At 43.7% G+C, this 12,491-nt stretch overlaps 1 protein-coding gene across 18 annotated transcripts in view, besides 4 other annotated features; it reads right to left on the bottom strand.

Moving 5' to 3' along the window:
- Nucleotides 1–12,491, bottom strand: part of SUGCT (succinyl-CoA:glutarate-CoA transferase) — a 903,812-nt gene that overhangs the window by 886,552 nt on the left and 4,769 nt on the right. The window contains exon 1 of one of the 18 annotated variants that reach the window (XM_047420842.1): nt 10,392–10,535. The exons of 16 other annotated variants lie outside the window; for them this stretch is intronic. In XM_047420842.1, the coding sequence (XP_047276798.1) occupies nt 10,392–10,434 (43 nt within the window). In that variant the 5' untranslated portion in view covers nt 10,435–10,535. Of the gene's footprint in view, nt 1–10,391; nt 10,536–12,491 lie in introns of those variants that run through there. One more of the 18 variants, XM_011515526.2, reaches the window with a different exon arrangement.
- Nucleotides 2,443–3,339: an enhancer, noted in NCBI's record as "OCT4-NANOG-H3K27ac hESC enhancer chr7:40188525-40189421 (GRCh37/hg19 assembly coordinates)". NCBI's record gives its function as "activates a minimal SCP1, AML or CMV promoter by ChIP-STARR-seq in primed H9 embryonic stem cells {active_cell/tissue: H9 hESC(primed)}" and the evidence as "EXISTENCE:reporter gene assay evidence [ECO:0000049][PMID:30033119]".
- Nucleotides 3,340–4,236: an enhancer, noted in NCBI's record as "OCT4-NANOG-H3K27ac hESC enhancer chr7:40187628-40188524 (GRCh37/hg19 assembly coordinates)". NCBI's record gives its function as "activates a minimal SCP1, AML or CMV promoter by ChIP-STARR-seq in primed H9 embryonic stem cells {active_cell/tissue: H9 hESC(primed)}" and the evidence as "EXISTENCE:reporter gene assay evidence [ECO:0000049][PMID:30033119]".
- Nucleotides 3,340–4,891: a biological region, named in NCBI's record as "CDK7 strongly-dependent group 2 enhancer GRCh37_chr7:40186973-40188172".
- Nucleotides 3,692–4,891: an enhancer, noted in NCBI's record as "CDK7 strongly-dependent group 2 enhancer chr7:40186973-40188172 (GRCh37/hg19 assembly coordinates)". NCBI's record gives its function as "activates an origin of replication core promoter dependent on BRD2, BRD4, P300/CBP, MED14 and CDK7 cofactors, with strong dependence on CDK7, by STARR-seq in HCT116 cells {active_cell/tissue: HCT116}" and the evidence as "EXISTENCE:reporter gene assay evidence [ECO:0000049][PMID:35650434]".

Genomic DNA, 12,491 nt, shown 5'->3' with positions numbered 1-12,491 from the left:
ACAAAGCCAATAAAAGTCCTTTCCCAAAACAAATCTCTTACTTGCCTGGGGACCAGACTGCCTTTGTAAAACTAACAAATTATCCACAAGATTAGAAATTATGGTTTAGGAGTCATGCACCCAGAGGCTGCAAGATTCTGAACCTTCCCAGTTGCTCTTAGGGATAACATCACTATTGTAAAACCTAACACTGGTGCTGAGGATATTTCCTAGACCCTGCGTTCTGATGCACCAGCTGGTGCCACCCAGACCAATAATCTGGCTCAACCTGTTCTGTGATCCCACCCAGAAACAAAAGAAAGCTAGAAAAACCCACTTTGACCCCCGGTGACTTCATCTCTGACCCATCCAATCAGCACTCCCTACCCTCTGGCTCCCAACCTGCCAAGTTATCCTTAGAAAACCTCAGTCTCCAAATTTTAAGGGAAACTGATTGGAGTAATAAATCTCCAGTCTCTTGTACAGCTGGCTATGCATGAATTAAACTGTATCTGGGCCACTGGGCAAAATGAATGCACTGGGCAGTTACATAGTGACTTGAGGAAGCTAAGACTCACCTCTGAGGTCACTTTCTGTCACTTGTGCAGACCTCTGGTTCTCATGCAGGTTTACAACTAGGAGCTGTTAGTGGCTTCTTGAATGTCAGACATGTTGGCAGTGCTTCCAAGATCCCTAACACTGTCCCAGGCTCTGGGATCCAAGGATGGCCATGAGGAGAGATCTTGGAAATATCTATACTATCCTCGTGCCAATGCCAGGCATATACAATAGTGTTTAACACTGATTCAATTTCTGTGCCTAAGGAGCTCACAGTCACTGTGAATACAATCTTCATCTAAAAAAGGCAGCTGAAGCCAGTGAAAAGGACATGTCCAGCTGCCACACAGATGCTTTCAGCTCCAGCATTCCACTGGCCTCATGTGCTCAGGTCACACGACTGGAAGCCACCTCCAGTTCTTAACTTTTCTAACTCTAGGTAATCCAAGATAAAACTTTGTTTCTTTATTTTGTTTTGTTTTGTTTTTAGAGACGGAGTCTCACTCTGTCACCTGGCTGGAATGCAGTGGCGCAATCTCGGCTCACTACAACCTCCGCCTCCCGGGTTCAAGCGATTCTCCTGCCTCAGCCTCCCAATTAGCTGGTACTACAGGTGCACGCCACCACGCCTAGCTAATTTTTTTGTGTGTATTTTAGTAGAGACAGGGTTTCACCATGTTGGCCAGCAAGGTCTCAATCTCCTGATCTTGCAATCCGCCCGCCTCAGCCTCCCGAAGTGCTGGGATTACAGTCGTAAACCACAGTGCCCAGCCAAGATAAAACTTTCTCCCTTTCTCTTCATCTCTTCTCTCCTGAATTCATCATCATATACATGGTAATTCCCTGGCTAAGGCCTAGGAATGTAACTGCCCAAGGGTTTCACCTTGCCCACTGTCTAGATAGAGCCGATTCATCAAGACAGGGAAATTGCAATCCAGAAAGAGTAATTCACGCAGAGCTGGCTGAGCGGAAGACCGGAGTTTTATTATTACTCAAATCAGTCTCCCCAGAATTCAGGGAGCAGAGTTTGTTTTGTTTTGTTTTGTTTTGTTTTGTTGTGTGTAGTTTCGCTCTTGTTCCCCAGGCTGGAGTGCAATGGCTGATCTCGACTCAATGCAATGTTCCCAACCTGGGTTCAAGTGATTCTCCTGCCTCAGCCTCCCGAGTAGCTGGGATTACAGGTGCCCACCACCTCGCCCAGCTATTGTTTTTTGTATTTTTAGTAGAGATGTGGTTTCACTATGTTGGCCAGGCTGGTCTTAAACTCCTGGCCTCAAGTGATCCGCCTGCCTTAGCCTCCCAAAGTGCTGGGATTACAGGCGTGAGCCACCGTGCCCGGCCCAGCGAGCAGAGGTTTTAAGGATAACTTGGTGAGGACTGGGGGAGCCAGTGAGCCAGGAGTGCTGATTGCTCAGAATGAAGTCACAGGGAGTCAGAGCTGTCTTCTTGATCAGTCAGTTCCTGGGCGGGGGCCACAAGATCAGATGAGCCAGTTTATTGATCTAGGTGGGGCCAGCTGATCCATCAAGTGCAGGGTCTGCAAAATATCTCAAGCACTGATCTTAGGAGTAGTTCTGGGAGGGTCAGAATCTTGTAGCCTCCGGCCGCATGACTCCTAAACCATAATTATTTTTTTGAGGCAGGGTCTCACTCTGTTCCCAGGTTGGAGTGCAGTGGCGTGATCTTGGCTCACTGCAACCTCCGCCTCTCGGGTTCAAGCCATTCTCCCACCTCAACCTCCTGAGTAGCTGGGAGTACAGGGACACACCAGCACACCCTGCTAATTTTTGTAATTTTTTGTTTGTTTTGAGACAGAATTTTGCTCTTGTTGCCCAGGCTGGAGTGCGATGGCGCGATCTCAGCTCACTGCAACCTCCGACTCCCAAGTTCAAGCAATTCTCCTGCCTCAGCCTCCTGAACAGCTGGGATTACAGGCGCCTGCCATCATGCCTGGCTAATTTTTTGTATTTTTAGTAGAGATGGGGTTTCACCATGATGGCCAGGCTGGTCGTGAACTCCTGACCTCAGGTGATCCACCTGCCTCGGCCTCCCAAAGTGCTGAGATTACAGGCGTGAGCTACCATGCCCGGCCGATTTTTATATTTTTAATAGAGACAGGGTTTCATTATGTTGGCCAGGTTGGTCTCGAAATCCTGGCCTCAATTGATCCACTTGCCTCCCAAAGTGCTGGGATTACGGGCATGAGCCACCGCGCCCAGCCCTAAAGTATAATTTCTAATCTTATGGCTAATGCTAGTCCTACAAAGGAAATCTAGTCCCCAGACAAGAAGGAGGTATGCTTTGGGAAAGGGCTGTTACAGTCTTTGTTTAAACTATGAACTATAAACTAAGTTTCTCCTAAAGTTAGTTCAGCCTACACCCAGGAATGAACAAGGACAGCTTGGAGGTTAGAAGCAAGATGGAGTCAGTTAAGTTAGATCTCTTTCACTATCTCAGTCATAATTTTGCAAAGGCGGTTTCAGGAAGACCCTAGCTACATGTATAAAAATCCAGTATTTAAGGTTGTATCTCTAAATCTTTAAATGTAAAATAAGCTACATGCTTATTTTACTTTTCAAAGAATGGACTGTGTTGGGACTCAAAAACTGAGACCCCAAAATATGGCACATTGACATGCTGAACTAAAGGAGAAACCTCAAGGACTCTCCAAGGTTCCCCACCCCTACCATCTCTTCTAAAGAAGTTTAAGATTTTTATCTGCCAAAACTCCAGGGTCACCCACCAAAGAAGAACAACTGTTTTTTCCTCCCCTCCCTGGAAGACCAAGAATGTAATCAGAACTGAACAGGCCCTTTCAGAAGATAAAGCCTGTCTCTCAGACTCATTCAAATTCTAAAGAGAACTATTTACCAGTTAATCTCCATCCGCATCCATTCATTCTCCCTAGCAATCCTTTATTTCCCCCAACAGAGTTCCTCTTCTCTCCCGGTTCCCATAACCTCTTTCATCAGAATCCAATCCCCCATTCTTTCTGTAACTTCAAGATGGTATAGGAGCTCATAAACCTCATCATGGGTTTGGGTCTTCATTCTGGTTTTTTTGTTTGTTTTTTGTTTTGTTTTGAGATGAAGTTTTGCTCTTGTTGCCCAGGCTGGAGTGCAATGGCGTCATCTCGGCTCACTGCAAACTCTGCCTCCCAGGTTCAAGTGATTCTCCTGCCTCAGCTGCCTGAGTAGCTGGGATTACAGGCATGTGCCAGCAAACCCGGCTATTTTTGTATTTTTAGTAGAGACGAGGTTTCTCCATGTTGGTCAGGCTGGTCTCCAACTCTCGACCTCAGGTGATCCGCCCACCTCAGCCTCCCAAGGTGCTGGGATTACAAGCATGAGCCACCGCGCCCGGCCAGGTTTTACCTTTCCACAACTGACAGTCCATTCATATTTCTTAGGAAACATAATTGCCTGTGTTAGATAGGAGTTCTAAATTTCTTTTCAAAGAATCAATATGTCAGTATGTTCAATTCTTTGCCTTCTACTTTTAAACTTAACTTCCTCATAAAGCAACCTTTTTCGATTACCTACTCCACCCTGACTCATCCCGATTACCTGATTACCTACTCCACCCTGACTCATTCCGATTTCCTGCTCTCTCATAACCATTTTTCCCGCCAAACCACTCACCCTGTCAGTCTCTTTAAATTAGCCAATCAGAGTTAGTTTAGCCTGTGCGGTCTAACCCTAGCCAATAGGGGAACAACACAGCAGCAGGGGCCATGTGCATCAGGGATAAACTCCCCTTCCCCTCCCTTGTCCAAGTGTGTGCTCACCATTGCTCCAACTGTAAGGGCATGCCCTTCTAAAGAAGTACATTGCCTTGCTGAGAATTAAAAAGAAAATTTTATATTCGAGTGCTATTTCTTTTGCAGCACAGAAACTTTATAACAATTTGGGGGGTCTCCTGTGATTACATTCCCCTCTGGGGGTGGTCTCTGGTTCTCTCTCATGAGGAGGTCCGCCCCGCCCCCTTGTGGCGGCCTCAGGGGTGAGAAATCAGGACCCACCCAGTGGGAGGAATAACCCGAGCTCTCAGCAACGCGGAGAGAAACTGGCCAGCAACCTAGCTTAAAGAATCCTCACATACTGTGGTGACAACTCTGTGCACAGACCAAGGAAGGAGAAGCCGCAGGAGCGGGTAAAGTATTTCCTTGGTGGTCGGGACTAAGGAAAAAGCTGCGGGGTGGTAAAGTATTCCTTGGTTAGGACATACCAAGGAGAGAGAAACCGCAGGGACAGTAAAGCATTCCTTAGTCGGGACTAGGGAAAGAAAGCCACAGGATGTGGTGAAGTATTCCTTAGTCGGGATGCTTGGAGGTTAAAAAGAGGTGAGAAATCCCCATTGAAGGCGGGGGTTGAACCTCAGAAAGAGGTGAGAAATCCCCATGATGGGGGGGTTGAACCTCAAAAAGAGGTAAGAAATCCCCATGGGGAGGGGGTTGAACCTCACACAAACCTCCAGTAGTAAGAAAAATATTCAGAACTCCCCTTTCCTTTCTTCTCTAGGGAAGAAAGAGTAGGTCCACTCCTGCTGGTCCCTCCCCTAGCGGAAGGGGAAGGAGAGGGGAGAACAGCAGCATAAGCGGCTGGCAGAGGCAGGGAAAGACCAGCAGAGAGGAAAGAGAGGGAGAGAGAGAGAGAGTGAGGAGAAAGAGAGAAGAAAGAGAGAGAAAGAGAGGCAGAGAGAAAGAGGAAGAGACAGAGAGACAAAGAGGGAATCAAAGAGACAGAAAGAGACAGGAAGTCAAAGAGAGGAAGAAAGAAGGAGAGAGATAGAAGTAGTAAAGAGAAAACAGTGTACCCTATTCCTTTAAAAGCCAAGGTAAATTTAAAACCTATAATTGAAGGTCTTCTCTGTGACCCTATAACACTCCAATACCACCTTGTTGTCTGTTGGGAACAGGCCCCAAAATCTGGCCATAAACTGGCTCCAAAACTGGCCATAAACAAAATCTCTGCAGCACGGTGACATGCTCGTGATGGCCTTGATGCCCACACTGGAAGGTTTACCGGAATGAGGGCAAGGAACACCTGGCCCACCCAGGGTGGAAAACCGCTTAAGGCGTTCTTAAACCACAAACAATAGCATGAGCGATCTGTGCCTTAAGGACATGTTCATGCTGCAGATAACTAGCCAGAGCCCATACCTTTATTTCCAGCACAACCCTTTGTTTCCCATAAGGAATACTTTTAGTAAATCTTACGACTGACTTGCTGTCAATAAATATGTGGGTAAATCTCTGTTCAAGGCTCTCAGCGCTGAAGGCTGTGAGACCCCTAATTTCCCACTCCACACTCTATATTTCTGCGTGTGTGTCTTTACTTCCTCTAGCGACACTGGGTTAGGGTCTCCATGACTGAGTTGGTCTCAGCAGTTGTCACTGTAAACAAGGGCGTAGCCTGAAAGCATTGAGGCCACTGACAAGCTGAGGCCACTGATTAGCCTTCCTAATCAAAAATCCTTAACCCAGTAACCTGCGGATGGCCCAAATGCATTCAATCTGTAGCGGCAACTGCTTTGCTAGCAGAAGAAAGTAGAAAAATAACTTTCAGAGGAAACATTATGAGCACAGCTCAACAGGTCAGAACTATACTAAGTCAAAAAAAAAAAAAGCAAAAAAGGTAACTTACTGACTCAAGAACCTTAAAGTATGAGGCTATTCTGTTAGAAAAAGATGATTTAACATTAACCACTGAAAATTCTCTTAACCCAGCAGGTTTCCTAACAGGATCTAAATCTTAATTACCGTACAAAGGTCTGACCAGACCTTGGAGGAACTCCCTTCAGGACAGGAGGATAGATGATTCCTCCCAGGTGATTGAGGGAAAAAGACACAATGGGTATTCAGTAAGGGATAAGGAAACTCTAACAGAAGCGAGTTAGGAAAATTGCCTAATAATTGGGCTGCTCAAACGTGCCAGCTGTTTGTACTCAGCCAAGCCTTGAAGTACTTACAGAATCAGGAAGGAGCCATCTATATCAATTCTAAGTTAATATGGACTGAACAGGGTCTTATTAATACCAAAGAATAATTGAAATCCCAAATTCACAAGGTTTTCAACAAAAGTAAAGTTTGCTAAAAGTTAACAGTGTAACATGTATTATCCTAACTTCTAATCTTGTGGCCTTAGACTAGTCCACAGACATGAAGGAAGTTCACTTTGGAAAAGAACGGTTATTATCTTTGAGAAAAAAAAAAAAAAGTGGGGAGGAGAATTTATGTAAAAACGAATGTTATATAGTAAATTCTTGTCCTAAAATAAATTAACTGGTTGTTTAAAGAAAGGGATGTTGCAACAAGTGAGAAAGCTGAGGCATGTCAAAGAATTGTCTGTGAAAGTCGTGAAAAAAAAAGTTATAAAAGGGAATTTATGCAAGAAATGTTGTATAATGTACAAGTAATTAGGCCTCTTGATTGTAAAACTATTGAAGAAACAGTTTATGTGCAAGGTGTGTAAGGAAAGTAAATATACTTTTGGTAAAAGGATTATAATGAGGCATAAGAATGTAGATTTTTACCTACATTAAAAGGTTAAAAAAATTTTTTGTTTTAAAGGTTTAAGCAAGTTTTGAAACATTAATTTTAAAGAAAATTCTGTTTGTAAACATATTGGCTAAAGTTAAAGGGGTATCATCCAGCTTTTCTGTAAACTGGACATTAAAATAAAAGCACAACAGGTTTTTCTTAAAGCACTAACCTGCTCTTTAACAAAAATTATACAAGGTTAAAAAGAGTCTATAAAAATCTTACCTTATGGTCAGACATTAAAAATTGGATAAATGTGTCTACAAGTTTTATTAAAATTAAGTTTATCACTAATAGCACACTAATATAAAGGTGAAATTTAGCTTTTCTGGTATAAAAATCATACAGGAAGCATTGTCAAATATAAAATGGTATTTGGCTTTCTTTGGTCTAAAAACTAATAAAAATAGGTGCTAAAGGAAATTTCTCAGTAAGAAGACACCAAGGACTATAAAGTCCACTGCTGATGTCCCCACATTTAAAACAAAAGATCAATTTCTTAGAAATTGTATACTTGGTTTATCTTCCACTTTCCTTTCCCTCAAAACTAAAAGTCTTTTAGCACAGGTACCACCCCTAGAATTTCCGGTAAACCAGCAACAGCCTGAAGATCATGGTCTCATCAAAGGGTGGAAAGAAGGAAAACTCCAGCCACCCTGGGAAGGACCCTACCTTGTGCTGCTAACCACCAAGACTGCTGTTCTTACAGTGGGAAAGGGAATAGACTCATCACACCTGAGTCAAGAAAGCGCCGCCCCCTCCAGAGTCATGGGCCATAGTCCCAGGGGAAAACCCTACCAAACTAAAGCAAAGAAAAATTTCACTCTCTTTCATCTATTCTATTACTCTTTCTTCTTTCCTCGCTCTATTGCTGACCATCTAGTTATTAACATAACCAAGTCAATTTCTCTTCAAACTATTGCATTTGATGCTTGCCTTGTTATACCCTGTGGGGACTTGCCAAGTCAAAGACAGCTCTCTACTTCAGAAAAGTACCTCTCTCCCTCCTGACTCTCCTGAGACTAGACATTAGTGAATTGAGACCACTTAATCCAGGGAGATTTTGGTAAAGACCCCAGTGTCAACCAGGAGTCTTGCCCCCCAGTGTAGAGCTTTTATGCCGTAGTTTGTCCAACATTCTGTGGACCACTAAAGAGCAAGGATGGACTGCCCCAACCAGTTTTTGTAATTTCCTAAAACCATACATTCATTTTACTAGAGGGACAGCCAACCCCCAACTGGGGGTCAGCTAAACCAGTGCATTCCAATACAGGTTATTATCTCGAACCCTCAAACTTCTTCCCCTTTTCTAAGCCAGTTCCCTTCTTTAAGCCAGTTTTATGGTATGGGGGCTGAGGTTTCAGGGACAGACCCTATTGGATTCTTTGAAATGTGTTTATTTGATCCCCCAGTGCCTGCACCTTCCTCTAAGCCTTCTTCCAAAACCTCTCACAACTGAACAATTGCCACTCCTCCATCTAACGACAAGACCAAGATAGCTATCATACAAGTTAAAGACTTAAAACAAACTTCGGCAATTAAGACAAGATACCAAGATGCAAATGCCTGGTTGGAATGGATCAAATATTCCGTCTGCACGTTAAACAAAAGCAATTGTTATGCTTGTGCGCACCGCAGGCCAGAGGCCCAGACTGTCCCCTTTCCACTAGGGTGGTCATCCAGTCAACCAGGCATGGGCTGCATGGTAGCTCTTTTCCAGGATTCTACAGCCTAGAGTAACAAGTTGTGCCACACTCTCTCTCTGCTATATCCCAAAGTCCAGCATGCTGCGGGTCAGCCCCCAAGGGCCATCCAGCCTCCATTTTCCAAAATCAATTTTACCTCATGTCTCCAACGACCAAGGGAAAAATTTGGCATTCCTTGGAGACTTAACAGGATGCAGTGAAGTGTGGCACTTCCAAGAGCTGACCTATCAGTCTGCCCTTATTCATCCCTAAGCGGATGTATGGTGGGATTATGGAGGACCTTTACTGGACACTCTGCCAAATAATTAGAGCAGTATTTATGCTCTAGTCCAATCGGCTATCCCTTTTACTCTGGCCTTTCATCAAGCAGAGGAAGGAAAAACCAGACGTCATAAAGCAAGGGAAGCCTCTTATGGGTCTTTCGACTCTCACATCTATTTAAATGCAATTGGAGTCCCACAGGGAATACCAGATCAATTTAAACCCCAAAATCAAATAGCTACAGAATTTGAGTCAATATTTTGGTGGGTGACAATTAATAAAAATGTAGATTGGATAAACTACATCTATTACAACCAACAGCAATTTATTAACTATACTAGAGATGCTGTTAAAGGAATAGCTGAGTAATTAGGGGCTACAAGCCACATGGCTTGGGAAAATAGGATAGCCTTAGACATGATATTAGCAGAAAGAGGAGGAGTTTGTATCATGATTAAAACACAAATGTTGTACCTTCATCCCAAACAACACTGTCCCTGATGGAAGTATAACAAAGGCATTGCAAGGTCTGAGTGCTGTGTCCAATGAGTTAGCCAACAACTCAGGGGTAAATGACTCCTTTACAGGATGGCTAGAAAAGTGGTTCAGTAAGTGGAAAAGAATAATAGCCTCAGTTCTTACTTCCCTCGCAGCCATAATGGGTGTACTTACTCTTGTCAGGTGCTGTGTCACACCATGCATCCATGGGTTGGTGCAGAGGCTCATAAAAACAGCACTTACTAAAACCTCCCTTAACTATTCTCTGCCTTATGTAAAGAAGCTTCTTCTTTTGGAAAATCTGTAGAACAACTAAGCCAAGACATGTTAAAGAAGTTTGAAGAAAAAGAGCCGTAAGGAAATGCAAGAGGACAGAATGTTAGATATGAGTTCTAAATTTCTCTTCAAAGAATCAGTTTGTCAGTAGGTTCAATTCTTTGCTTTCTAGTTTTAAACTTAACTTCCTGGTAAAGCAACCTTTTTCAATTATCTGCTCTACCCTGACTCATTCCAATTACCTGCTCCACCCTGACTCATTCCGATTACCTGCTTCACCTTGACTCATTCTGATTACCTGCTCCACCATGACTAATTCCAGTTACCTATTCCACCCTAAGTCATTCCGATTACCTGCTCATTCTCCACCCTGACTCATTCAGATTTCCTGCTCTGCCATAACCATTTTTCCTGCCAAACCACTCACCCCGTCACTCTCTTTAAATTAGCCAATTGGAATTAGTTTAGCCTGTGTGGTCTAAACCTAGCCAATAGGGGAATGACACAGCAGCGGGGCCACGTGCATCAGGGATAAGAACCCCTTCCCCTCCCTTGTCCAGGTGTGTGCTCACCATTGTTCCATCTGTAAGGGCGCATTCTTCTATAGAAGTACATTGCCTTGCTGAGAATTAAAAAGAAAATTTTATATTCCAGTGCTATTTCTTTTGTGGCACCAAACCTTTATTTATAACATGGGCTACTGGAGTCAGACCCTGTCTCAAAAAAAAAAAAAAAGAATTCCCTCTCCCTCAATCTTCATATATTACCTGTAAATGTGATAAGAAGCACACTTTTTTTTTTTTTTTTTGAGATGGAGTCTTGCACTGTCTGTCGCCCAGGCTAGAGTGCAATGGCACAATCTCAGCTCACTGCAGCCTCCCACTCCTGGGTTCAAGCAATTCTCCTGCCTCAGCCTCCCAAGTAGCTGGGATTACAGGTGCCCACCACCACGCCTGACTATTTTTTTGTATTTTTACTAGAGACGGGGTTTCACTATGTTGGCCAGGCTGGTCTCGAACTCCTAACCTTGTGATCCATCTGCCTCAGCCTCCCAAAGTGCTGGGAGTACAACCATGAGCCACCGCGCCTGGCCCAAGAAGCACACTCTCATGCATAATCTGTCAAAAATTTATAAATCAGATGGGCACAGTGGCTCATGCCTGTAATCCCAGCACTTTGGGAGGCCTTTGCAGTGAGCCTACATTGCACCATTGTACTCCAGCATGGGTAGTAGAGCAAGACTGTCTCAAAAAAAAAAAAGGAAAAGAAATCACTAGGATTTCTGTTCACCAATAATGTTCTACCCGAGGACGAAACCAAGAAGGCAGTCCCATTTATGATAGCTACAAAAAAATAAAACACCTAGGAATATATTTAACCAAGAAGGTGAAAGAAATCTACAAGGAAAACTACAAAACACTGATGAAAGAAACTATAGATGAAACAAAAAAATGGAAAAACACCCCATGCACGTAGGCTGAAAGAATTAATGTGGTTAAAATGACCATTGTGCCCAAAGCAATCTGCAGGTTCAATGCAATTTCTATCAACATCATTTTTTCACAGAATTAGAAAAAACAATTCTAAAGTTCATATGGAACTAAAAATGAGCCCGAATAGCCAAAAATATCCCAAGTAAAAAGAACAAAGCTGGTGTTATCACATTTTCTGACTTCAAAATATACTACAAGGCTATAGTAGCCAAAACAGCATAATACTCATAGTGTCTATAAAAACAGACACATAGGGCCAGGTGCGGTGCCTCATGCCTGTAATCCCAGCACTTTGGGAGGCCAAGACAGGCGGATCATGAGGTCAGGAGTTCAAGACCAGCTTTACCAACATGGTGAAACTCCGTCTCTACTAAAAATACAAAAATTAGCCAGGTGTGGTGGCGTGCGCCTGTAATCCTAGCTACTCAGGAGTCTGAGGCAGGACAATCGCTTGAACCCGGGGGGCGGAGGTTGCAATGAACTGAGATTGCACAACTGCACTCCAGCCTGGGCAACAGAGCAAGACTCTACCTCAATAAATAAATAAATAGACACATAGATCCATGGAACAGCATACATAACCCAGAAATAAACCCACATGCTTAAAGCCAACTGATTTTTGACAAAGTCGACAACATTTACTGGGGAAAGGATACCCTTTTCAGTAAAAGGTGCTGGGAAAATTGGATTGCCATATGCAGAAGAATGAAACTGGATCCCTGTATCTCACCATATAAAAAAATCAATTTGGCCAGACACGGTGGCTCACACCTATAATCCCAGCACTTTGGGAGGCCTAGGCGGGCGGATCAACTGAGGTCGAGAGTTTGAGGCCAGCCTGACCAACATGGAGAAACCCTGTCTCTACTAAACACACAAAAAATTCGCGGGGCATGGTGGCGCATGCCTGTAATCCCAGCTACTTGGGAGGATAAGGTAGGAGAATCGCTTGAACCCAGGAGGCGGAGGCTGCAGTGAGCCGAGATCGCGCCATTGCACTCCAGCCTGGACAACAAAAGCGAAACTCCATCTTAAAAAAAAAAGAAAGAAAAAAATAAATTCAAGATGGATTAAAGACTTGAATGTAAGGATGAAACTCTAAAAATACTGAAGAAAACCTAGGGGAAACTCTTCTAGACATTGATCTAGGCAAAGAATTCATGACTGAGACCTCAAAAG

Source organism: Homo sapiens, chromosome 7, assembly GCF_000001405.40.
Source record: "Homo sapiens chromosome 7, GRCh38.p14 Primary Assembly".
NCBI lineage: Eukaryota > Metazoa > Chordata > Mammalia > Primates > Hominidae > Homo > Homo sapiens.
Note: the sequence above shows the minus strand (reverse complement) of the source record. Positions and strands in the feature narration are given on the sequence as shown.